General features: G+C 45.9%; 1 protein-coding gene and 3 long non-coding RNA genes across 6 annotated transcripts, besides 3 other annotated features; 2 read left to right on the top strand and 2 right to left on the bottom strand.

Annotated features, from left to right (window-relative positions):
- Positions 1–2,222: 2,222 nt before the first annotated feature.
- Positions 2,223–3,566, bottom strand: LOC124903918 (uncharacterized). The gene is made up of 2 exons (XR_007065608.1): positions 3,523–3,566; positions 2,223–2,944 (listed from the first exon to the last, which is right to left on the bottom strand). It is a non-coding gene; the product is annotated as an uncharacterized LOC124903918 (long non-coding RNA).
- LOC105371530 (uncharacterized) lies at positions 2,870–5,306 on the top strand. The gene is made up of 3 exons (XR_934221.3): positions 2,870–2,951; positions 4,001–4,096; positions 4,881–5,306. It is a non-coding gene; the product is annotated as an uncharacterized LOC105371530 (long non-coding RNA).
- Positions 5,307–12,603: 7,297 nt separating this feature from the next.
- SPDYE4 (speedy/RINGO cell cycle regulator family member E4) lies at positions 12,604–23,618 on the top strand. Of its 2 annotated transcripts, none has more exons than NM_001128076.3 (7): positions 12,604–12,876; positions 13,658–13,888; positions 14,714–14,772; positions 15,545–15,630; positions 17,661–17,829; positions 17,953–18,056; positions 23,284–23,618. In NM_001128076.3, the coding sequence occupies exons 1-6, from the start codon at positions 12,768–12,770 to the stop codon at positions 18,010–18,012; spliced, it is 714 nt and encodes a 237-aa protein (NP_001121548.1). In that variant the 5' UTR covers positions 12,604–12,767; the 3' UTR covers positions 18,013–18,056; positions 23,284–23,618. The 2 variants fall into 2 exon arrangements, with proteins under 2 accessions (NP_001121548.1, NP_001381885.1); NM_001394956.1 differs by lacking the exon at positions 23,284–23,618 and adding an exon at positions 18,913–20,297.
- Positions 22,045–26,224, bottom strand: LOC105371529 (uncharacterized). 2 transcript variants are annotated; one of them, XR_934217.4, is made up of 3 exons: positions 26,119–26,224; positions 24,525–24,665; positions 22,045–22,830 (listed from the first exon to the last, which is right to left on the bottom strand). It is a non-coding gene; the product is annotated as an uncharacterized LOC105371529 (long non-coding RNA). The 2 variants fall into 2 exon arrangements; XR_934220.3 differs by lacking the exon at positions 22,045–22,830 and adding an exon at positions 23,599–24,118.
- Positions 25,002–25,271: a silencer, noted in NCBI's record as "silent region_8186". NCBI's record gives its function as "represses an Ori minimal core promoter by ATAC-STARR-seq in GM12878 lymphoblastoid cells {active_cell/tissue: GM12878}" and the evidence as "EXISTENCE:reporter gene assay evidence [ECO:0000049][PMID:35858748]".
- Positions 25,492–25,601: an enhancer, noted in NCBI's record as "active region_11701". NCBI's record gives its function as "activates an Ori minimal core promoter by ATAC-STARR-seq in GM12878 lymphoblastoid cells {active_cell/tissue: GM12878}" and the evidence as "EXISTENCE:reporter gene assay evidence [ECO:0000049][PMID:35858748]".
- Positions 25,662–25,881: an enhancer, noted in NCBI's record as "active region_11700". NCBI's record gives its function as "activates an Ori minimal core promoter by ATAC-STARR-seq in GM12878 lymphoblastoid cells {active_cell/tissue: GM12878}" and the evidence as "EXISTENCE:reporter gene assay evidence [ECO:0000049][PMID:35858748]".
- Positions 26,225–26,293: the final 69 nt, after the last annotated feature.

Here is a 26,293-nt window from a genome sequence, read left to right as displayed (position 1 = left end):
CAAGACTCCATCTCAAAAAAAAAAAAAAAAAAAAAAAAAAAACACCTCAGCGTAAGTCAAAACACAAACTGGGAAAAATATTTGCGACCCATTTCATGTCCAAGAGGCTATTCTTCCTGCAAATCTCCTACAAATCTATAAGGAAAAGGCATAGATTTGTAAATAAACTCAATAAACTCATAGGCAAAGGATATCACAGGCAGTTCACAGAAACAGAAAAACAAGTGGGTAGACCCAGAAATCCTACTTTGTGAAATGTATCCTACAGATACACCTGCCGATTCATTAAATGGTATTTATACAAGGTTATCTATTACAAAAAAAAACTGAAAATAGCCCAAATGTCCATCAGTGAGAGACCAGTTACATAAATTAGGGTTTGGCCATACAATGAAAAAAAATTATGCAATTAAAAGCACCTTTTGTGTATTGATATGGAAAAATCCCTAATGTATATTAACAAAATAAAAAGTAATAAAAATATAGAACAGGATCTATATGGAACTTTTTGTATAGAAAGAAAGAAAACTAGGATTATATTCATGTCTGCTCATATTTGCATAAAGAAACTCTGCAAAATATGCCAAAAGTAATACAAGTGGTTATCTATGCGGAAGGGTTGGGAAATGGATGGATAAAAGAAGAAATGAACGTTAGACTTTTCACTATATACTCCTTTTTTGAATCTTTTGAACCATGAGAATCAACTATCTGCCCAACATTAAAAATTGAATTAAAAAGTAATTTTCTATTTGTCTTTGCTATTCTTAAGTTTCACCGTAATATGTCTGGGTCTGGCTAGAATGTTTTGTTTTGTCTTCTTAGATATGAGCTTTTTTTGGTGAATCTGAAGTCTCTCTTGGAAATTCTTGGTCACTTTTTATTCAGATTATTTCATCCTTCTCCATTTTCTTTTTATGAGACTCATCTTACTACTTAAATCTTACATTTTTACCTCACTCCTGTTTCCTAGCTTTTATTCTTTATCTCTTCCTGATGTCTCTAGGAGAGTTGCTAACGTGGTCTTCCACTCGCTAATTGCTCTTTGTCTTTATCCATCCTGCCACTCAGTGTATCCATTGAGTTCTTTAATTCATTCAGTCTTCACATTCAGGATGTCCATCTAATTTGTTCGACAATATTTGGGCTTGCTTCCGCTTCACATTTCTGATACCTTCCCTCATGTCTTTAAACACATTTGTTATGCTTATTTCAAATTTAATTTCGATTCTATTAATTGATTGGTTGTTTCCTTTGATACAGATTGTTCCATTTATCTTTCTCATATGACCGTTGCCCTTCATATGACCGTTGCCCTCCTCAGACATCCCGTTCTTTTTCCTTGTGAGTTCTTGTCCTTGGGACTACCAACTACATTGGCTGCCAATGCATATGTGTCGACTGAGAGAGCCTCTGGTGTTGCAGTCTGAAACCAACCACTTCCCTTTTGTCTCCCCAAATCAGGCAATACTTTTCCTCAGCAAATCTTCCAGAGCCTCTTTCTCAGATATTATTCTTTTCCAAGGGCTGCCTCCCTCTGTTGCAACTGCCTGTTCCATTATATTCATCTGCTCAGGCTGCTGTAACAAAATACCACAGACTGGGTGGCTTCCATAACAGACATTTATTTCTCACTGTTCTGGAGGCTGGGAAGTCCAAGATGAAGGTGCCGGCCGGAACGGTGTCTGGTGAGGGCTCTCCCTTGGGTTTCAGATGGCTGCCTTCTCACTGTGTGCTCACATGGCCTTTCCTCTGTGCGTGAACACGGAGAGAGGGAGCAAGCAAGCTCTCCGGTGTCTCATAAAGACACTGATCCTATGAGATCAGGGCCAATCCTTATGACCTCATATAGCCTTAATTACCTCCTAAAGACCCTGTCTCCAAATACAGTCATATTGGATTAGGATTTCAACATACAAATTTGGGAGTGGCGGTGGGGGATCACAATTCAGTCTATAGCACCTGTGGAAGAGGGCGTAGTCAGCCTTCTCCCACTGGAGGGCCCTTGTATCTGCTGTAACACTGCTCCCTTCTCACCTCGCTGCTCCGAGTTGGCATTAAGTTGGCCCTGGACTAATGCTGTTTTTTTGCCATACAGTGGCAACAGGGTGTGCCGGGGTCTTGCCAGGGCAAAACGAAGGCGACAGATCAACAGTCTGACATCCCCTACTGTTAGGAATAATGCTCAAAATCCTAAGGAAATTGAACACACGAAAAAAGGATTCTTAGCAAAGCAATTTTACTTCTGTGCAGAGGGGTGCCTCCTTGGCCAGTTGCCGTGAGAGCACACCTGAACAAAGGGGCACGAGAGCCTTTATTCCTGACGCAAGTCCTGCCCTGTACCCTTTCCCCATTGGCTGGGGTCGGGTTGTACAATGTAAACTAATCCCGGTTGGCTAAACATTGTTTTTTTTTAGATAGGGTGGGCACGTAAAAGAAAGTGGAGGGAAAGGGGAAGGGGTGTCTGTAATGAGCCAGAAAGTTAGTCCTCTTTCCAAATAAGGAAAGGAATGTGAGCTGGTACTGATAACACCTGGTACTGTGGCGTGCCTGGGCATCTAACAAAGGCAAGAAGGAAAAAAACAGAAAAAGGGAGAAAAATGGGGGGGGGGTTACTATAAATTAAAGAATAAAAGATTGATCAGATTTTTTGAAGAGAAACCTCATCGTATCCCACACTAGTCCCCATCCATAATATCTGTTCCTCTTCTGGAGGAACCTCCAGAGATCAACCTCCCTCCCATTTCTGCAGCATCTCCAGGGACAGGACCCTTTCCTGGTTACAATCTCATAGGAAGCCTGACGTTAGCCTCATTTCAGTTCCCAGCTTCGCCATTGCTGGAGATGAAGTTTAATCTCCAAGTCTCCACTGTTTTTCTTCTATTATCATGAAAAGCTTGGAGTCGATGATCTCAGGTGTTTCTAGCTCCACAATTCTGGGATTCTGTGTGGTAAGTGAAGAAGTGGCAGGTAAGGAACATTGAAATATTTTAAGACTACACAGTTTCCAAGGAGATAAAGAGACAAAGTGGGGGAATACCCAACAAGAGAGAGTTATTAGCAAGAATGGATGTCACATTTAGAAGGTGGAATGTCAATCAAGTTTCAGGAAATAAGAAGGTGAAGGATGTTAGTCGAGGTTCACAAAAGAAAGGGAAAACGACTGATTGAAACGAGATTTGGAGGAGAATCTCCAAGACTGAAGAATGACAAAAATGATTAACCACCATATAAGCAATTGTAGTATTTTCTTTTTAATTTATTATTAAATATTGCATATATAGCAAAAGGTACACATAATAATAATAAGCACCATGTCCCCAGAGCTCAATCTAAACTATTACTCATTACCAATATATAGTAAGCCTCCCCGGTGCCATGTCCTTCCCTCCACCATCACCAGGAGATGGTAACTATTATGCTAAATTTGTTATTCTGTACACTTCCACTACATAGGGATGTGTTCGGGGGCAACATTTTCTTTTTATAAATCAAATTTGGGCCGGGCGAGGTGGCTCATACCTGTAATCCTAGCATTTTGGAAGCCTGAGACAAGAGGATTCCTTGAGGCTGCAAATTCAAGACCAGTTTGGGCAACATGGCGAAACCCCACCTCTGCAAAAAATACAAAAAAAATTTGTAATTTTTTTGTGGTGGCGTATCCCAGTAGTTCCAGCTACTCGGGAGGCTGAGGTGGGAGGATCACCTGAACCCAGGGAGGTCGAGGCTGTAATGAGCCATGATTGCGTCACTGTACTTGTACTCCAGCCTGGGCAACAGTATGAGATGCTGTCTCAAAAAATAAATAAATAAATAAATAAATAAATAAAAGAGAATCAAATTTGAAGTCTGAAGACTGAGAAGTATGACTATTGAAATGCTTCAGATAAAAGAAAGTTGTCCTCGCTGAAGGGGTCTGGGCAAGGAGAAAAAGAAAATGGATGGAATAAGTTGGGGCAGAGCATAAGAAGCTTCCTTTTACCCACTTATGTCTTTCTAGATGAAGAGGTCACTAGCAGTCACTTCCATATGTGGACCTAGAGCATCGGTCAGCTTCCTGGTGAAGGCAGAGAGCCACAGTTCCAGAACACTCAAGGTCAGAAGGAAAGGCGTTATTTCAGCTACTGCCTAGCAGAGCTGTTAGTTTGGACCAGTGGGAGTTCTCTTCTGAGTAATCCCAGCATTGGGAAATTGGTCATGAAAACAGAACAGGAGGCCATTTAACATGTCAGGGACAAGCCACAGCACAGGCTGAGGTTTGAGGCTGGTCTCCAAGACCAGACTTAGGCATGACTGCCCAGTGAGATGAGTACAACCAGTGTTCTGCCTCATCCTTTCCCTGAGAGTGGCCCTTGAAACTGCCTCTGAGGGGTCCTGTCTTCCTCAGCCTCAGCAAACTGCCAAAATGGAATCATAGAATCATTCCATGAAAAGATGGTTGGGTTCAGGGAGGCCACCGGCCTTGCACCGTTGTATTATTGAAAACCCACTGGGGCCATCTTTAGACAACCTAACCCTGCAGCAAACTTAACTAAGCCCTAAACGTTGCCATAACAAACAGATTAAAATTCACTTTCATCGACATTAAAAATAATTTGGGAGGAAAAAAAGGCAAAAAGATTTTTCTAATTTTGCTTTTGAAATTATTTGTCTGAGTAACTCATTTAATTCACAATTTGCTTAGCTTTTTTCCCCAAAAAATCTGTGCATAATTGGGAATTCTCGGGAAGTGAGGAAATTAAATCCACAGATTACTTTCAAATGTGTGAAATGTTGTATGAATGCTAAAGTTAGCAATTCATGAAGCTGGTGTGTTAACATTTGTAAGCATCTAATTAAACATGTATTCTTTATTTTGTGGCTTCCTTTTTGCATTTTAGAGCCAGCGATTATTTTCAAGCTGGAAACACTGGTATAGGCTCCCAAGAAGCTCATAGGGCCTAGGCCCTGTGCCCACAGGCCTGGAGGATCAGCAACCCCGTGAGAAGGTTTTATGGGAGGTACTTGTGTCTGTGGGCACTGACTGGTTCCTTTATCTCAATTCCCCATACCTCCCCACCCATGGTCACTGTTCATTGGTTGTTTCCTCCTCCCACTTCCATAACAGTGAAGAGCTTGTGTTGTTCACTGCTGCATCCCTAGCCCAGAAGAGCATCAGGCCCATCACAGATACTCGACATAAGTATTTGTTGAATGCACGGTCACCTCTGGGAACGGGATTCGGTGGTGGACAAATAGGGCTCCAGATGTATTTCTATTGTTCGAATGATGTATAATGAGAATGTAGTCACTTATTAGCTTTGTAATTAAAAAATAACATAATTTTACAATGAGATGTCACCTTGCATCCATCAGGATGGCTACTATTTAAAAAAAAACAGAAATAACAAGTGTTGGTGAGAATGTGGAGAAACTGGAACCCTTGTGCGTTGTTGGTGAAAATGTAAAATGGTGCAGCCACTGTGGAAAACAGTACGGTTTCTTCAAGAAATTAAAAATAGAATTACTATATGATCTAGCAATTCCACTTCTAAATATATACACTCCATAAAATGGAAGCCGAGTCTTAAAGAGATATTCAAACACCCACATTCATAGCAGCATTATTTGCAATAGCCAAAAAGTGGAATTAACCCAAATGTCCATCAATGGATGAATGGATAAACAAAATATAGTATTAATAGAAGGGGATATTATTCAAGCTTTAAAAGGAAGGGAATTCTGACATAGGCTACCCAATGATGAGCCCTGAAAACACTATGCTAAATGAAATAAGCCAGTCATAAAAAGACAAACACTGTATGATTTCATTTATATGAAGTACCTAGAGTAATCAAATTCATAGAGACAGAAAGTAGAAAGGTAGTTGTCAGAGGCCAGGGGAAGAGCAAAATGGAAAGTTATTCATTAGTGGGAATGGAATTTCAGTTTTACAAGATGAAAATGTTCCTTTATTATTTTTTTTTTTTTTGAGACAGAGTCTTGCTCCGTTGCCCAGACTGGAGTGCAGTGGCACGATCTCGGCTCACTGCAACCTCCGCCTCCCGGGTTCACGCCATTCTCCTGCCTTAGCCTCCCAAGTAGCTGGGACTACAGGCACGCGCCACCACGCTCGGCTAATTTTTTTGTATTTTCAGTAGAGACAGGGTTTCACCGTGTTAGCCAAGATGGTCTTGATCTCCTGACCTCGTGATCCGCCCACCTCAGCCTCCCAAAGTGCTGGGATTACAGGCGTGAGCCACTGCACCCGGCTGAAAATGTTCTAAACATTGGTGGCACAATCATGTGAATAATACCTAACAATACTGAACAGTACAGTTAAAAATGCTTAAGAAGGCAAATTTGTTGTTATGTATATTTTACTACAATTAAAAATAAACAACATTTAAAAATACAATTCTAAATGTAAATATAATTTTAAGTGCAGGAGACTTTTTTAAAGAAAACACAAAACTCAGGAAGATAAAAAGAATGATCAACAGATTCAGCTAGATAAATATTTTACATTTCTGGCCAGGCGCAGTGGCTCATGCCTGTAATCCCAACACTTTGGGAGGCCAAGGCGGGTAGATCACGAGGTCAGGAGATCGAGACTATCCTGGCTAACACAGTGAAACCTGGTCTTTACTAAAAAATACAAAAAAATTAGCTGGGCGTGGTGGCAGGCGACTGTAGTCCCAGCTACTTGGGAGGCTGAGGCAGGAGAATGGTGTGAACTCGGGTGGCGGAGGTTGCAGTGAGCCGAGATTGTGCCACTGCACTCCGGCCTAGGTGACAGAGTGAGACTCTGTCTCAAAAATATATATATATATATTTTACATTTCTATGATAAAAGATAACATAAAATTAAAAGACAAACAGCAGGCTGGCAGAAAATATCTGCATATATATGTTGCACATTGTTCATCATACAGGAAAACGTTTTTTTTTTCTGAGACAGAGTCTCACTCTGTCGCCCAAGCTGGAGTGCAGTGGCACAATCTCGGCTCACTGCAACCTCCGCCTCCCAGATTCAAGCAATTCTTTGGCCCCAGCCTCCCAAGCAGTTGGGATTACAGGCACCTGCCACCACACCCAGCTAATTTTTTTGTATTTTTAGTAGAGATGGGATTTCACTATGTTGGCCAGGGTGGTCTCGAACTCCCTTCTGCAGGTGATCCACCAGCCTCGGCCTCCCAAAGTGCTGGGATTACAGGCATTAGCCACTGCATCTGGGCCATAGAGTAAAACTATTTATGGGAGGAGGTAAGTATGTTTGGTTTAGTTAGTATAAATCAAATTACTGAAGTCAGTGAACTCTGAGGACACACACTTGACAGACACACAAGATAAGGAGGAAGAGGTTGCAAAGTGTTGATGTTTGTGTAACCACAAGCATGGCTGAGTCTAGAACATGATTAGTATTCAAGCAAATGGAACCGTGCAGGTATTGTTACAGATTACCTTCATTCTAGGACCTTTCCTTCTGTCACTAATACCACAAACCACATACAAATGAGGCAAGTAAGATCTGGGAGGAATTTGAGAAGCGTTTGTGCAATGTCCAGGGGTAAACTTATAATGGGATGAACTTAGGGAGTTAACAAGAGTCTGCACTGACCCTGAACACTCCACACATTCTTGGAATGGCCGGGCACAGTGGCTCATGCCTGTCATCTCAGCACTTTGGGAGGCCCAGGTGGGCAGATGGTTTGAGCCCAGGAGTTCAAGACCAGCCTGGGCAACATGATGAAACCACACCTCTATAAAAATACAAAACTTAGCCAGTTGTGGGGGTGCACACCTGCAGTCCCAGCTGTTAAGGAGGCTGAGGTGGGAGGATTGCTTGGGCCTGGGAGGTCAAGGCTGCATGAGCTGTGATCATACCACTGCACTCCAGCCTGGGCAACAGAGCAAGACCCTGTCTCAAAAAAAAAAAAAAAATGGGGAGGGGGGACTGAAGATATGTTGTATCTATCTCCCAATGATGTAGTCACAGGGTAAACAAACCAAATATTGCCCCACCTCTCCTGTTTAGTACCATCTCTGCTTTTAGAGAATCCCAAGCTTAGAAGGAGAGAAAGCTAATTCTTCTGTTGACTTGGTGAATCAGCCTGGGCACCTCGCTATTGGTCAGCCTGCCATGGATTGCTGCATTGATTGCCTTCCCTGTCACTTGCTGCATCCAATGACGGTCCAATCAATCCATTCAAAAGTATTAGGATGAATAGAAGTGAGCATCAAAAATATAGGATTACATTCGAGAACACAGAAAGGTCTTCTATAAATCAATAAAAATGCAAAGCAACTTGATTTTTAAAATATGCATCAAATGTGAATAAGATACCGAAGAAAAAATGGCTGTATACAGATGTATAAGTTCACCTATCAGACTGGCAAAAGTTTAAGAGATTGATAACATACTATATTGGTGAGTGTCTTAGTCAGTCTGGGCTGCTCTAACAAATTACCATAGACTGGGAATCTTAAACATTTCTTTCTCACAGTTCTGGAGGCTGGGAAGTCCAAGATCAGGGTGCCTGGAGAGGCAGTGTCTGCTGAAGTTCAGCTTGCTGGTTTGCAGATGGCTGTCATCCTATTGCTCCCTCACATGGCAGACAGCAAAGAGAGAGAAAGCAAGCTCTTTCTTTTCTAAGAGAGAGGGCACTAAACCCATCGTGAGGACACCACCCTTAGGAGCTAATTACCTCCCAAAGGCTGAATATCCAAGTACCATTACGTTGGAGATTACGGTTTGATATGGTTTTTCTGTGTTCCCATTCTAATCTCAACTTGAATTGTATCTCACAAAATTCCCACATGTCATGGGAGGGACCCAGGGGGAGGTAACTGAGTCGTGGGGGCCGGTCTTTCCCATGCTATTCTCCTGATAGTGAATAAGTCTCAGGAGATCTGAAGGGTTTATCAGGGGTTTCCGCTTTTGCTTCCCTTTCATTTTCTCTTGCCGCCGCCACGTAAGAAGTGCCTTTCACCTCCTGCCATGATTCTGAAACCTCCCCAGGCATGTGGAACTGTGGGTCCAATTTAAACCTCTTTCTCTTCCTAGTCTTGGGTATGTGTTTATCAGCAGCGTGAAAACGGACTAATATAGGGTTTCAACATATGAATTTTGGGGGCACAGATTCAGTTCACAGCACTGAGGAGCAGGGAAATGAAGACTCTACATTTTGGGTTGGAATTTAAACTTGTGAATTAGACTGGTAAAGTCTTCAGAGGCTCAGATATGATGTGTGAGCCTTGTGACTTCTGAGGATGAAGGCTGTGTTCTGGCAGCTCTCTCACCAGTGGCAAAAAACAGAAAAGTATCCTTTCCATTGGATATCCTGCTACAGAATGAATTTTCACATTGAACATTTAATTTCCCATTTAAATAAATCCACCTGGAATTTGATTTGTATATGTCTGTTTTCCAAATAATGAGCTAGTTGTGATCGCATGATTTGTGGCTTAATCTCTACTTTCCCCACTGGGATATGCCATGACAGCATTTAATGCATTCCTATAGAAACTTGGGTTTATTCTGAACTTTCTATTCTCTTGATTGTATCAAGGATCATAAACTGGGACCCTGTAACCCGTTTCAGGCCTCCAGATCCAGATTTGTGTTTGGTCTTGTTTTGGTTTTGGTCAGAAGTGTCTTTGAAAATTGTGGATTTTCATGCCTTTAGGCAGCTCACAAAGTCAGGGCTATCTTAGAGCAAGATACTTGCCCAAGCTCTTAGAGCACTTGAGGATTTTGCCGGAGTGACACTAGCAACATGCTGTTTTAACACTTTCACCTTAGAACACATTTTGGTGTCTGGCAGTGGACATTCCCTCTCATTCTTCTTTTGTGATGGTTCCTTAAGTACTCAATTCTCTAGATAAACTTTTACATTGTTCTGTCAACATCTGCGGGGGGAAAAACTCTTTGAGATTCTGATTGCAATCGCATTAAATTCCTAAATTCATTTGGATTGAATGTACAGTTTTACCATATTGAAACATCATTTAGACATTTTGTAAGTCTCTATTCAGTTCTTTTATATTCTCAGTGAAAATTTTTAGTGTTTCTTCTTTTAATTGAGATGCAGTCTCACTCTGTCACCCAGGCTTGAGTGCAGTGGCGTTAACTCGCCTCACTGCAGCCTTCGCCTCCCAGGCTCAAATGATCCTCCCACTTCAACCTCCTGAGTAGCTGGCAGTACAGGCATGCGCCACCACACCCAGGCTAGTTTTTTATACTTTGGTGGAGACAGGGTTTCGCCAAGTTGCCCAGGCTGGTCTTGCACTGCTGCGCTCAAGCAATCCTCCTGCCTTGGCCTCCCAAAGTGCTGGAATTACAGTTGTGAGCCAATGTTAGGGGGCTTGTCGACCAGCATACAGGGGCCTTGGAGGCTGCTTCAAAAGTTCCCACTAAGCCAAGGATACAAAGCCTGGTGACAGCCCTCCCATGTGAGGCCCAGGTCTTACTTACCTCGCTCAAAAAATCTTTCCTGCTCATTTCATTCGAGAGTGATTTTGCTTTCTTTGGGATCTCTATTGCGCTGCCCCACCCAGAGAGTTCCAAATCTGAATGGACTCCAATGATGAAGTTAAATCAGCCCCCACCTCAGTCCTTTGGAATTAGAATCTGTGGGGCTGGGTCCTGGCATCTGTATCTTAATGTTCCTAGTTGAGATCCTTAGGCTGAAAGGCTGGTATTTGCAAAGCACTTCTTCTCCTCCAAACTCAGCCTCCGAACTAGCTGGGACTACAGGTGTGTGCCACCACACCAGGCTAATTTTAAATTTTTTTGGAGAGACGGAGTCTCACAACGTTACTCAGACTCATCTCCAACTCCTGGGTTCAAGTGATTCTCCAGCCTTGGCCTCCCAAAGTGTAGGGATGACAGGCAGGAGCCACCATGCCAGCCAATAAAGCCCTTCTGTTTCACTCTAATGATATCTTTGGTGCATAGCTACAGCCATTGTTGTATTAACCTGCATCACTGAAGGAAAAGAGAAGGGGAGAAGTGATAGTTTTGCTTTTCCCTGAACATATCAGATGAAACCTGAACTGTTTAGCTCATTTTTGGACAATGTATTGACATAATTTAAGATGGCTGCCTTATTGTAGCCTGTCTACAGAAGGTGCCTAGAAGACAGAGGAATATGTAAAACTGGCTTGAAGAGTGATTAATCAGAACTTTACGTGGTACAGAAGAGAAATTTTAATGGCAACAGAATATTGATCTTCTAATGTTTGAAAGCCTATTAAATAGGAGAGAAAGATGATTTTCTGTTTTGTTGTAAAAGGATCCAACCAGTTCTGATGGTTGAAAGCATCGTGAATGCGAAGGTCCACTCAATGTAAGCAGAGTTTCCTAACAATTGGACTTCCACAGCGACGGGATCTGCCTCCTCATTCAGTTGTGCCTTTCCCATCAGCGAGAGACTCCTAGGAGCCCATTAGGAAGCTGTGCCAGAACTCACAGGTTCTTTGGATGGTATCTGAGATAGTATCCAGCTCTTACATTTTTATTTTTTCCGAAAAAAATATTTTTGAGACTGAGTCTCACTCTGTCCTCCAGGCTGGTGTGCAGTGGTGCAATCATAGCTCACTGCAGCCTCAAACACTTGGGCTGAAGCAATCCTCCTGCCTCAGCCTCCCAAGTACTGGGACCACAGGTGTGTGCCACGATTCCTGATTACTTTGTTTATATTTTGTAGAGATGACGTTTTGCTATGTTGCCCAGACTAATCTTGAACTCCTAACCTCAAGTGACGCCCTGCCTTGGCCTCCCAAAGGAGGGAGATTATGAGCAGGAGCCCCTGGGCCTGGCTGAGATTTTCCCCTTAGTCTTTTTATACACAGGATATTTTATTCATAAAATACATAAATAGTAGGCAAATTTTGGGGTCAAGTGAAATAGATATGTTGTAATAGTTGATATATAGACCAGAGTTCCTTAGCTGAACTGGAGGGCAGGCTTTAGGTGATCCATGGATGCCCTGAACTTGTGGACACCATTGAAAATCTGTACGAAACCATGGACAGTCTCCTGTGATTTTCATTCCTCAAAATGTCTCTTGGACTCAAAGATGCCTGAGAGCAAAGGATGCATGTTCCCCTACTATAGGATCCAGGATAGTGAATATCAGTAAACATTCAGCAAAAAAGCTTTGCCACATTGAGTACTTCGACGTAACGTCTCCATTCAACAAGTCAATTTACCCAGGATCTCCTGTATATGTTAATCTCACTCTTGGAAGGACTCATCATTCTGCTTACCCTAAATTTCCTTCCACCTTCCTCCCTCTCTCACCAGACTAGACTCTGAAATGGGAAGGAGAAGCGGGGAGGAGAGCCCAACACCCCCTCAAGTTTAGAGTGGAGAGGACACAGCCTCTGCTGGGACAGGGAAAAGAGGAATGTGGAGACCCTGAGGATGCTTTTGGACAATGCTCAGAGGTTGGGACATTGCCAGGAGATACCGTTCACCCCGGATCTCCAAGAAAAGAGATCAGTCTGGCAGTTACATGTGTTTTTCTTCAAAGTAGTTGCCAGTTTGGAATGACCGATGACATCAGAGATTCCGACTTTCCTGATTGGAAGGACCGGACTCTGGTTGCTTGGGAGTTCAGGTGGACAACAGCAACTTCTCAGAACTACTCTTCACTCCTAACTTCTCCCGAGCCTCTAGAAGAGAAACGCACTCTTCTGGGTCCTAACGGAGTCTGGAAGAAGGCTTTGGACAGAACAGGGACTAGGTTTTGTGGACAGAAACAAAGTGTTTGGGAGAGATTATGGCCAGTGGTCAAGCGCGCCCCCCGTTTGAGGAGGAGAGCCCCCAGCCTAGCACAACGGTACGGTCCCCCGAGGTGGTGGTGGATGATGAAGTGCCAGGACCATCAGGTGAGGTGACTGGAGGGAGAAGCGATGGGAGATGATTGACTGAGGAGAGGGAAGGGGGCCAGTTACTGGGAATCTGAAGCACCTGAGTAGGGTGTGTGGGAAAGAAACGACGGACTCAGGAAGCCAGGGATCGGGGAAGGAGGGTGCAGGGAATGGGGCCAAGCATGGCCACGTGTAAAGAAAGTCTGGGGAGCAATGAAGGGGGTCAGGAGATGTGCTCAAAAGATGAGAGAGGAAGGCCGAGGCGGACGGATCACGAGGTCAGAAGATCGAGACCATCCTGGTTAACACGATGAAACCCTGTCTCTACCAAAAATACAAAAGTGAGTTGGGCATGGTGGTGCGTGCCTGTAGTCCCAGCTACTCAAGAGGCTGAGGCAGGAGAATCATTTGAACCCAGGAGGCGGAGGTTGCAGTGAACCAAGATTGTGCCACTGCACTCCGGTCTGGGCAACAAGAGGGAGACTCCATCTCAAAAAAAAAAAAAAGAGAGAGAGAGAGAGAGAGCAGACAGAGCTCAAGGGAAGGTTTCCATTTTTCTCCAATTGAAAGTTCTTATCTGTGATGAGGAAATGTTTTGAGGACAGAGAGCCGGAAGAATGGGGAGGTGAGGGAGAGGCAGATGGGGATCAGCAAAGGAGAAAGGTGGAAACATGGCTTGGAGAAGCTGACAGTCTGCGAGGCTTGGGAGGATGGAAGAGTAGTTTGAGGTTCCTGGGTCGGGGCGTCTAAGGTGATCAATGGCAGAAACATGACACCATGGCCTGGTTTCTTCACTCAGCCCCTTGGATAGATCCCAGCCCCCAGCCTCAATCCCTTGGCCTGAAAAGGAAGAGCGAATGGTCAGACGAATCCGAGGAGGAGCTGGAGGAGGAGCTGGAGTTGGAGCGCGCCCCTGAGCCCGAGGACACCTGGGTGGTGGAGACGCTGTGTGGGCTCAAGATGAAGCTGAAGCGAAAGCGAGCATCCTCCGTGCTCCCTGAGCACCACGAGGCCTTCAACAGGCTCCTTGGTAGGAGGATACCCCAAAAAGCACCTCCAACCCTGTTCTTTTAAAAAAGTGGAATCTTTCAATAATCACACTTTCCCAATAAGAAGAATATGCCCTCCTGGGGGATGAGCGCTCCATGCAGGAGGAGGATGCTTAGGAGATAGAGGATTAGGCTAGTCTTAATAAAGGTCTGCACTTGAAATAAGAAAGCTTGGTTTCTGGCCAGGTGCAGTGGCTCATGCCTGAGATCTTGGTGCTTTGGGAGGCTGAGGCGGGAGGATCTCTTGAACTCAGGAGTTTGAAGTTGCAATGAGCTATGATTGCACCACTGCACTCCAGCCTGGTTGACAAGGAAAGACCCTGTCATAAAATAAATAAAATAAAATAAAATAAAAGATAAAAGAAAGCTTGGTTTCAGCTGTACCCTCTGAAACTCTATGTCTCTTGATGACTTTTCTAAACCTAAGTGTCTCCATCCGTGGAGGGGGATAACAAGGCCATGGGCACACCCAGCTGTGACTATCTCAGGAAGCAATGATGGGAATTCTATTATGACTTCTGCAGTGGTCCCTTCCTGTCTGATGGGAGGACATCATGGCTTATTCACAGCTCTTCATCCTGTAGACTCTGACACCAGAGGCCTCCTTCGGCCTCTCCTCAGGGGAATCTCAGAGCGGGAGCCTCCCTCCTTGCCCAGTGAAAGTCCTTCTCTCCTCTCCCATCCACCTAAGCCTTGGCCACAATCCTGAGACTTCCCCCAGAGGGACACAGTTCTCCTCTCTGCTCTGCTGCTCCCACGGCAACCCTGTTCCACTTCTCACCCTGACACAGGCTCTCTTTTCACAGGGGATCCTGTCGTTCAAAAATTCCTGGCCTGGGACAAAGACCTGAGGGTGTCAGACAAGGTAAGGTTGTTCTCCACTCAACTGTGTTCCTGCTTTAACACACGTCCTGGGGAAGGGTGCAGCGTCTAAACCCACAGTTTCTCTCCTCTCTCCCTCTACCATCTCCCACCTGCTGATTCCATACTCTTGGGCGCCCACATTTTGATTTTTATTTTTTCAGAAACAGGGTCTCGTTCTGTTGCCCAGGCTGGAATGCAGTGTTGCCATCATAGCTCACTGCAGCCTCAGCCTCCTGGGCTCAAGTGATCCTCCCGCCTCGGCCTCTCCAATAGCTGGGACTCCAGGCGTGAGTCACCGCCCCCAGCTATTCTAGGTCTTCTCATAATTTGTCAGCATCTCCCTCGGGGCTCTGGTAGCCTGTTGCATAGTTGATGGGTGGCCCCTGCCTCTGCACAGGGTCCTTTGGAATCCAGGCCCTGGGCCAGTCTTGAAACTCCTGACCCCTATCCTCTCAGATCTTTGGGACAGTCCTTTGCCCCAGCTCACCAAGACCCTCCTGACATTAGCAGCCCTAGACACTCTCCCTCCAGTGATCCCACTGGAGCTCATCATCATGGGAGCATCACAGACCTCCCTCCCTCCGACTTCCCGGATTTGCAGCTGACTTTGAACACTCTCCACCCGCAAGCCCCCAATGAGCATAGTCACCCAACACTGAGGTTCCTTCTGTGATAGACAACCGCGCCCCAGCCCCTGTTCCCTTCTCTCCACCATCTTCCTCTTCCAGGATGTGACCAACCTTTCTCTCTCTCTACTCCCTTCTCTCCATCAGTATCTCCTGGCTATGGTCATAGCGTATTTTAGCCGTGCCGGCCTCTTCTCGTGGCAATACCAACGCATTCATTTCTTCCTGGCTCTGTGAGTAGTTTGCTTCTTCCCATCTGTCAATATCCAACACCCTGGGACAGTGGACGAAGTGGGATTCCAACCTTCCATCTATTTTTTTACCCTACTTCTCCTCTTTACTCTGTATATAAAAACGATAAGATTATACTATGGTGTTCTTAGTCTGTTCTTTCTAAAAACAAACACAAATGCAGTTGACAAATAGTAGAATCAAACAAAAGGAAACATAAACCCGTCCTAAGGGGAAAGGAAAGCCGTGGACACGACCCTGCTCCCCAAGCAAGCAGCCATTTCTGGTTCTCTCGTCTCTCTCCTTCCCATATCAACACCAAATGCAATTTTCCATCCTCCTTCTCCAGGTTCCCATGACAGAGGCAGAAATTCAGGTCGTCCTCGCATAACACAGATCCATCATCAAATACTCCCTGCTGGGCATTCCTGCGAGTCCTGCCCCAAGCCAGGGGGCTTCCTAGTGCTGCCTGAATAGCTTTCCAAAGCACAGCTCCCACCCCCCCTTCACTGCCCACCTGAACAACCTCCTTAGCTGATTTGTCTCTAAACGGAGGCCCGGGTCCACAGGGCTAATTCAACCCTCTCTGCAGTCCTTCTACCACCAAACCTGCCCACCATCTTCATCTTTCCTTGTTTGCTTTCGCCACTCCTTCCAAATGCCCTCCACTCCATTTTGATTTTGTGTTTTCTGTCTGGGTGTCCTGCACACATGTGGATCTGAAGGGAATGACCCATTCCTTAAAGTCAGTTCAACCCCACAGCCTTTGCAATGCCTCCCCTGATCTTCCAGCTTCTGCACGCCCACAGCACTTTAGTGACATCCTAGGATAATGTGACATTTTGGATTCGTTTATCTGCCCTCCTTTTCCCCAAACCCATCAGAGTAGACCCCTGTTGAAGGCAGGGTCTTGTCAAAATATCAAAGTTTTTTGTTTTTATCTTTACCGGACAGAGACTTGCTCTGTCCCTCAGGCTGGAGTGCAGTAGCCAGATCATAGCTCACCGCAGCCTCCATCTCCTAGGCTCTAGTGAAGCTCCCACCTCAGCCTCCTGAGTAGCTGGGACTACAGGTGCATGCCACCACATCTAGCCAGTTTTTATGATTTTTAGTAGAGATGACGTTTTGCTATGTCACCCAGGCTGTTCTGGAACTCCTGGGTTCTCACCTCAGCCTCTCAGAGTGCTGGTATTATAGACATGAGCCACCCAATCAGCCAAAATATCAAAGTATTCCTGAAACACTCAGCACAATTCTTTTCATTTTGCAAGTGCTCATGTTATATTGACTCTATGGAATAATTCATATGGCATTTGCCTATAAGATAAATCTTTCCTTCTTTCCTTCATTCATTCATGTATTCATTTATTCAACAAAACCTTATGAAGTTCATCATATGTGCCAGGGAATAGGAAGGATGGGAAGGGAGAGTTCACAGCAATGCTTGTTGAATTAATGCACCAAGATAAACAAAGCCCTCTAGTGGCCTTTTGGTAGGTGAGAGATGATTTACAGAAACACACCAGTCAGTTCCTGTCCTTGGGGGCACTTATGATGCACGGGGGAAGACAGGTGTGTGCATACATGACAAGGAAGGGGGGTGTGGGAGGAACAGGGATGGGGACTAGGATGAGGTGACGTCATCTGTCTTGTATAAGGATGGCAGGACACATCCTTAGCATAAGACTTGGGTTGTTTTTAAATTCAGAGGGGGTCTTGCCATATTACCCAGACTGGTCCCTAACTCCTGGCCTCCAGTGATCCTCCTGCCTGGACTCCCAAAGTGCTGGGATTCCAAGCAAGAGCCACCACTCCCAGCTACCACTTGGATCATCTCCTTCCTGAAGGTTTGAGAGGCACCCTTAGCAGGTCTCTGTCCAGCGGGGCCTCCTGAGGAAGGCAGGGCTCTCTGCAGGGCGGCTGTTGGTGCTGAGCTGAGGAAGGTCCCCTGCCCTCCTCTCTGAGAGGCTGCCCTCAGGCAGGGGTCCCTCCTGGTGGGGCCCCTGAGCAGCAACCTGATCTCTCTCCCCAGCTACCTGGCCAGTGACATGGAGGAGGACAACCAGGCCCCGAAACAAGACATCTTCTCCTTCCTCTACGGGAAGAACTACTCCCAGCGACCCTTGTTCCATAAGCTTCGATACCAGCTCCTCTGTTCCATGCGCTGGAGGACGTGGGTTTCCCCAGAGGAGATGGAGGAGGTAGGTGGGGCCATATGAGGAGGTGGGGGTGGGGAGGGATGGGGTGGACTGGAGGCTGGAGGAGGGCAGAGAGGGGGCTTCCTGGGGAATCCCTGGCTTCTCAAGTGGTGTGTGTTTTTCCAGATCCAGGCTTATGACCCAGAGCACTGGGTGTGGGCCCGAGATCGCACCCTCATTTCCTAGAGCTCCGGGGACATGGAGGCCTGAGGTCATCGGCCTGAGGGAAGGTACGTGTGTATCCTCCAGGGTAAAGGCAGAATATTCTCATCTATAAGAAAATCCAAGGAACTCAACTGCTTGATCCAGCTTCAAGCCTGGTCAACATGGCGACACCCCGTCTCCACAAAAATACAAAAATTAGCCGGGCGTCCTGGTGGGCGCCTCTAGTCCCCACTACTCAGGAGCCTGAGGCGGAAGGAACACCAGAGCCCCGGAGGTCGGGGCTGCAGTGAGCTGTGATTCTGCCACTGCACTCCAGCCGGGACGACAGAGTGACACTCTTTCTCAAAAATGAGAATACTACCTAGGTCCAGGGAGGTTCATTATGGTTGATACACTTGAGTTACTGATTTGAGGAAAGGATTCAGTGAAGATTTGGTTGACATCTTGTGCAGCTAACCACATTTAGGACCAAGCATTAGACTAAAACATGAGAGATTAAGGTTGGGGATTAGGAATCTGGTCTGCTGGTTCCTGAGGTTGTCGTGTTAGACATGTTTGTAGCATGGTTAAAAGTTTAGATCTTAAGCAATATAAAGGGCCCCAAGTGTGATGAAGTCCAAAGCCACGTCCTCCAAGGGTGCTCTACTCCCTGGGTGGAGCCACCCAAAGTCCTTGCTATGAAGCAGATCACTGGGGCTAACCTTGGGTATATTAAGTGATTTTTGGAGTCAAGCTCACCAAAGTGTGAGTACCAGAATCAAAAATGATGGTTCAGAATCAGGGTTTACAATAAAGGGTTAGAGATAAAATCAGATTTATATATTGCTCTGAACTCTAGTTAGGATTGATGTGGGATGGGAATAACCTTCCTATCTAGAGATCTCCCTCCTTGAAGTGTGACATCCTCTCTCTCACTTCCAGAACACTGGGCCCAGGGGAGATGGGAATTTTCAGCAGGAAGTTTATCGCGACGCTAATGCCAGACACCAGGAAGGGAGAGAGGAGCCTCCTGTGCAGATCATCTAGAAGAAGCTGGACTCTTCTAGAAGGGGCAAAATAGATTGACCAGGTTTTCCTCCTAGGAGCCATGGAGGTATTTCTAGGAGTCAGTGGAGGGAAAGTGAGAAACCAGGGGTGTTTCTGGTTCCACCCCTTCCTGCGGCAAAACCTCCCTTTTCACGTTGCTGAATCCCAGCCTCCCCTGGGCTGGAAGCTGGAGTTCCTGTTTCCTATGGACTTGGTTGCCACAGTCCAGAGCATTTGAAGGCACAGCGCAGGCACTCAGATTGTTACGGAATTCTTTGTAAAATATGAAATTACTGCCATAGGATTTTAAGAGATAGTTTAATAGATACTGTACATTTTGTTGGTTTATTTTTCAAATGTTGGCCATAGAATTATTACTAGGTTGATTTAAAATAGTTTGGGGTTTTTGTAGTTTTGAAAACATGCTGTTCCTATAGAGTTCTCTGACGGTTGTTATATACACATAAATATAATTTAGTTTTCATTTTTAAGAGAGGATTCTTTTTATCGTAAATGTTTTCTCTTTAAATCGTTTTATCTATTATTAAATGTGCTCCTGAAGCGAGCACTCTTGTAATCTATGATACTGACCTAATATATCCATTATATTTATAGCTAGGTGGTAGTTCCCCTACATTCTTGCAAATAGAAATGTTTATTTTCTGTTTACTGTTTGTTACTGAATTGTGAGAATTCAGTTGTGATTTTTAACATGCCTTCCATATATACTAACATGTCCAATATATACTATACATTTTATTTGTTTATTTTGAAAATGATGGGCATGGCATTATTACTACATTTATTTAACTAGTTTAGAAATACAAGTATTTTTTAAAAGACACTGTTCTTATGAAGTTGTGTGATGGGTGTTACACCTGTTATATACACATAGATATAATTCTGTTTTCATTTTTAAGAGAGGATTCTTTTTATCCTAAATGTTTTATTTTTAAATCTTTTTATCTGTTATTACATGTGCTGCTGAAGGGAGCACTGTTATGACCTAGAGTAGTTACATAATATATCTATTCTATTTATAGCTAGGTGGCATTTCCCCGAAATTCTTGTAAAAATAAATTTTTATTTGATGTTGAGTGTTTGTTTGTTATTGAACTGTGAGAATTCAGACGTAATTTTTTAGCTTGTATTGAAAGGTTTGTATGTTACTTTAAAGAGGACATGTGTTTGAAAGGAGGACAGGAGCTGTGTGTTTCAAAGAGGACAGTGCACTGCGCTACCTGGGAAAATGCAATAAAGATGAAGTTTTCTCATCTTCACAACGACTGTGACCATATTGGTCTGGATTGCTTATTTGTTGTCCAATGACATTTTTGTTTAATGCGGTTTTAGTTATTTGAACAAATCTATTAACCCTGGAAAATAATGCTGAATCTTTTTGTTTGTTTGTTTGTTTGTTTTTGAGATGGAGTCTTGCTCTGTCACCCAGGCTGGAGTGCAGTGGCGCAATCTCAGCTCACTGCAAGCTCCACCTCCTGTGTTCACGCCATTCTCCTGCCTCAGCCTCCCAAGTAGCTGGGACTACAGGCACAGGCCACCATGCTCGGCTAATTTTTTGTATTTTTAGCAGAAACGGGGTTTCACCGTGTTAGTCAGGATGGTCTTGATCTCCCGACCTCGTGAGCCATCCGCCTCGGCCTCCCAAAGTGCTGGGATTACAGGCGTAAGCCACCTCCCCTGGCCCTTTATTTTATTTTATTTTATTTATTTATTTATTTATTTGAGACAAGGATCTTGTCCCATTCCCCAGGCTGAAATGCAGTGGCTCAATCTCGGCTCACTGCAACCTCCACCTCCCAAGTTCAAGCAATTCTCTTGTCTCAGCCTCCTGAGAAGCTGGGATTAAAGGCGCCTGCCACCACGCCCAGCTAATTTCTGTATTTTTAGTAGAGGCACCATTTCACCATGTTGGCCGGGCTGGTCTCCAACTCTTGACCTCAGGTGGTCCGTCCCCCTCGGCCACCCAAAGTGCTAGGATTACAGGTGTGAGACACTGCATTGCATTTGGCCCATACAGTAAAACTATTTATGACAGGAGGGAAGTATCTCGGGTTAGTTAGTAGACATCAAATCACTGAAGTCAATGAACTCTGAGGAGATGCTTGACAGACACACAAGATAAGGAGTAGGAGGTTGCAAAGTGTTGATGTTTGTGTAACCACAAGCATGGCTGAGCCTAGAATGCAATTACTATTCCAGCACATGGAACCGTGAAGCTATTGTTACAGATTACCTTCATTCTAGGACCCTCGTGTCACCAATACCATAAACCACATGCAAATGAGGCAAGTAAGATCTGGGAGGAATTTGAGAAGCGTTTGTGCAATGTCCAGGGGTGAACTTATAATGGGATGAACTTAGGGAGTTAACAAGAGTCTGCACTGACCCTGAACACTCCAAACATTCTTGGGATGGCCAGGCACAGTGGCTCATGCCTGTCATTTCAGCACTTTGGGAGGCCCAGGTGGGCAGATGGTTTGAGCCCAGAAGTTCAAGAGCAGCCTGGGCAACATGGCGAAACACACCTCTATAAAAATACAAAACTGGGCCTGGCACGGTGGCTCAAGCCTGTAATCCCAGCACTTTGGGAGGCCGAGGTGGGCAGATCACAAGATCAGGAGATCGAAACCATCCTGGCTGACATGGTGAAACCCTGTCTCTACAAAAAAAAATACAAAAAATTAGCCGGGCATAGTGGCATGCGCCTGTAGTCCCAGCTACTCAGGAGGCTGAGGCAGGAGAATCACTTGAACCTGGGAGGTAGAGGTGGCAGTGAGCCTAGATCACTCCACTGCACTCCAGCCTGGGTGTGACAGAGCGAGACTCCATCTCAAAAAAAAAAAATACGAAACTTAGCCAGGTGTGGTGGTGCACACCTGCAGTCCCAGCTACCCAGGAGGCTGAGGTGGGAGGATTGCTTGGGCCTGGGAGGTCGAGGCTGCATGAGCCGTGATCATACCACTGCACTCCAGCCTGGGCAACAGAGCAGGACCCTGTCTCAAAAAAAAAAAAAATTCAAAACATTCTTGGGGACTGCAGGTCTGTTGTATCTATCTGCCAATGATGTAGTCACAGGGTAAACAGACCAAATATTGCCCACATCTCCTGTTTAGTGCCATCTCTGCTGTTAGAGAATCCCAAGCCTAGAAGGAGGGAAAGCTAATTCTTCTGCTGACTTGGTGAATCTGCCTGTGTGACTGGCTATTGGTCAGCCTGCCATGGATTGCTGCCTGAGTTGCCTTCCTGTCCCTTGCTGCATCCAATGAGGGTCCAACCAATCCACTCAAAAGTATTAGGATGAGTAGCAGTAAGCATGAAAAATACAGGATTACTTTCCAGAATACATAAAGACCTTCTATAAATCAATAAAAATGCAAAGCAACTTGATGTTTAAAATGCGCATGAAACATGAACAGGAGACTCACAGAAGAAGAAATGGCTGTATAAAGATGAGTAACTTCACCTATCAGACTGGCAAAATTTAAGAGATTGGTAATATACCATGTTAGTGAGTGTCTTAGTCAGTTTGTTCTGTTCTAACAAATTCTCATAGACTGGGAAACTTAAAACATTTCTTTCTCACATTTCTGGAGGCTGAGAAGTCCAAGATCAAGGTGCCAGGACAGGCAGTGTCTGGTGAGGGCCCATTTGCTGGTTTGCAGACTGGAAATCTTAAACATTTCTTTCTCATAGTTCTAGAGGCCAGGAAGTCCAAGATCAAGGTGCCAGGAGAAGCAGCATCTGCTGAAAGTCAGCTTGCTGGTTTGCAGATGGCTGTCTTCCTGTTGCTCCCTCACATGGCAGAGAGCAAAGAGAGAGAAAGCAAGCTGTCTCTTTTGTTAAAAGGGCACTAAAGCTATCATGAGGGTACCACCCTTAGGAGCTAATACATCCCAAAGGCTCTATATCCAAGTACAATTATATTGGAGATTAGGGTTTGATATGGTTTGTCTGTGTCCCCATGCAAATCTCAACTTGAATTGTATCTCCCAGAATTCCCACATGTCATGAGAGGGACCCAGGCAGAGGTAATTGAATTGTGGCAGCTGGTCTTTCCTGTGCTATTCTCCTGATAGTGAATAAGTCTCAGCAGATCTGATGGGTTTATCAGGAGTTTCCACTCTTGCTTCCCTTTCATTTTCTCCTGCCACCACCATGTAAGAAGTGCCTGTCACCTCCCGCCATGACTCAGGCCTCCCAGCCATGTGGAACTGTAAGTCCAATTAAACCTCTTTTTCTTTTCAGACTTGGATGTCTTTATCAGCAGCATGAAAACGGACTAAGACAGGGTTTCAACATATGAATTTTGAGGGGGCACACAGATTCAGTTCACAGCAGTGAGGATGCAGGGAAATGAAGACTCTCTACGCTTTGGGTTGGAATTTAAACTTGTAAATTAGACTTGTAAAGTCTTCAGAGACTCACATATGACTTGCGAGATCAAGGCTGTGTTCTGGCAGGTCTCTCACCATTGGCAAAAAAACCAAAAAAGTATCATTCCCATTGAATATCCTGCTACATAATGAATTTTCACATTGAACATTTAATTTCCCATTTAAATAAACCCATCTGGAATTTGATTTCTATATGTGTTTCTTTTTTCCAAATAATTAGCTAGTTATCCCAGCACCATTTGTGGCATAATCTATACTTTCCCCACTGGGATATGCCGTAATAGCATATAATGCATTCCTATAGAAACTTGAGACTCTTTCTGGATTTTCTATTCTGTTTATTGTGTCAAGGATCATAAACTGGGTCCCTGTACCCCATTTCAGGGCTCCAGATGTGTTTTTGATCTTGTTTTGGTTTTTGTCAGAAGTGTGTTTGAATATTGTGAATTTTCATGCCTTTAGGCAGCTCACAAAGTCAGGGCTATCTTAGAGCAAGGTACTTGCCCAAGCCCTTAGAGCACTTGAGGATTTTGCCTGGAGTGGCACTAGCAACATGCTGTTTTAACACTTTCACCTTAGAACACATTTTGGTGTCTGGCAGTGGACATTCCCTCTCATTCTTCTTTTGTGATAGTTCCTTAAGTACTCAGTTCTCTAGATGAACTTTTACATTGTTTTGTCAACATCTATGGGGAAAAAAACTCTCTGAAATTTTGATTGCAATCGCATTAAATTCCTAAATTCATTTGGATGGAATTTACAGCTTTACCATACTGAACCATCATTTAGACATTTTGTAAGTCTATTCAGTTATTTTATATCCTCAGGAGAGGGGAGGGGAGGGAAGGGAAGGGAAGGGAAGGGAAGGGAAGGGAAGGGAAGGGAAAAGATGGGGATAGGACAGACCTCTGTAAATCCGAGACAGCCCTGCGTCTTGCTCAGGGTCCCTGGGAGGGCAGTGAGACTCCAGAGAGGGATGGTGGTGTGCAAGGATCACGAAAACTCCCATGATAGGTACCAAACCAAGCAGCAGAAAGAGCTTCCAGATACGAGGAGACCCTTGGGCAGGAGCAGAGGATGTCTTACACCTACCTCTATGGACCAACCTGGCCCTGGACCACCTGATTTCACGGACAATCAAGGATATGTCTCATATACGTGGCGGGGAGGGTGATTCCAGAAACAGATGGCTTCCTCCTCAAGGGCTGGCGTTGCACAGCTCCTAGGCACGACCTTAAAGAAAGGGAGGGGAAGCCCAGATTGACTGTGCCAGCCTCTGTGGATAAACAAGGAAACATGCCCCTCCGAGGAGCTTGAATCGTTCTTGGCGGTCTTATTGTCGCCCTGCTGGGCGTGTTCCTCCGGGGCTCCGGTGGAGAACCACCTCTTGTTTAGGGTTGGGGTGGCCATTGTGTGGGTGTGTTCTGCGTGGGGTAGGGACTGTCTTGCTTTCTCTGCTGAGCCCACCGGACTAGGTGGAAGCGACAGGTGTGTGTGATGGTCCGCTCTGGAGGGGAGGCTCCGGCGGAGCGTGGGAGGGGAGCAGGGCTGGGGTGGGCCGGGATGGAGGGCGCGGCAGACGGCCAGCAGGGGGCGCCAGACGACCGGCAATGCGGCGGGGCGGACTGGCCGCGCTCGGGACACGCCCCCGCCCGAGACCCCTAGCCCACCACAACCCACGCACCCCACCCCGCTCCCCCTCCCAGACAGAGAGAAGCGGAACGGGCGGTGTGGCGGGCGTGGCGGCAGTAGCGGGCGTGGGAGGGAGGGAGGCAGAGAGAAGAGGGAGCCTGCGCCTGGCGGGAGCGAGCTCAAGGTCCCGGCCAGAGTCCAGCCGGAGACCCCAGGGCGCCCTCCGCACACCCGCCGTCCCACGCGAAGACGTCCGACCTCCAGCCAGATGAGTTAATGCACGCAGCCTGACGGGATCAAGGAAGGCGGCCACCACGGAGTCAACATTTTAAATAGGGTCATTTCCGTTACCGTGTTTTGACATTTCTTCCCGTTTTAAGTTTATGCAAACAAAAACGCGCAGGGCCGGGCGCGGTGGCTCATGCCTGTAATCCCGGCACTTTGGGAGGCGGAGGCGGGTGGATCACCTGAGGTCAGGAGTTCGAGACCAGCCTAGCCAACATGGAGAAACCCCATCTCTACCAAAAGTACAAAAATTAGCCGGGTGTTGTGGCAGGCGCTTGTAGTCCCAGCTACTCGAGAGGCTGAGGCAAGAGAATCGCTTGAACCCGGGAGGCAGAGGTTGCAGTGAGCTGAGATCCCGCCATTGCACTCCAGCCTGGGCGACAGAGCGAGACTCCGTCTCAAAAAAAAACCAAAACCAAAACCAAAACCAAAACAAAACAAAAAACTGGCGCAGGCCCCGAGTCTCTTCTTCTGAGGGGCCTGGCCTGGGCCCTCCTCCTGTGCCTGTCCCCGCGCACCCCCCGCCCGTCCCCCCTTCCCCACCCGGCCCCACCGCGTGCTGGGCCCGCCGCCTGGTTTCTAACCTCGCGCCTCCTCGCGACTCCACCCCTGCCGCCGCTAAGCACCTCCTTTCTTTCTCTGCTCTTCTTCACCAAGGCCCGGCCCCTCCCTCACCCTCACCCACACCTGAACCCCAGGGAGGCCCTAAGAGCAGGGCGCCCGCACAAGGCCGCTCCTCCACCCGATGCCCCTTCTCAGCCACACTCACCAGAAACTGCCTCTGGCCCTGGGCTCCATGGCAACCAGCATCTAACCAGGCCTAATGCCTTCCCAGAAGTTCCTGAGGGCAAAGGGCAGGAGCAGAGAGCAGGACCCCAGCAAGGGGAGGACCAATGGGGGCAGGGGGCAGGGGGCAGAGGGCAGCGCCTGGACTCCACGTGCCG

The sequence above is a fragment of the Homo sapiens genome, chromosome 17 (assembly GCF_000001405.40).
Source record: "Homo sapiens chromosome 17, GRCh38.p14 Primary Assembly".
NCBI lineage: Eukaryota > Metazoa > Chordata > Mammalia > Primates > Hominidae > Homo > Homo sapiens.
The sequence above is the reverse complement of the archived record's forward strand: the minus strand, read 5'-3'. Positions and strand labels throughout refer to the sequence as shown.

Coding starts and splice junctions, on each gene's coding strand:
- SPDYE4 (NM_001128076.3), top strand. CDS start 12,768: ATGGCCAGTGGTCAAGCGCGCCCCCCGTTTGAGGAGGAGAGCCCCCAG. Junction 12,877..13,657: donor TGAAGTGCCAGGACCATCAG/GTGAGGTGACTG, acceptor TTCTTCACTCAG/CCCCTTGGATAGATCCCAGC. Junction 14,773..15,544: donor ACCTGAGGGTGTCAGACAAG/GTAAGGTTGTTC, acceptor TCTCTCCATCAG/TATCTCCTGGCTATGGTCAT.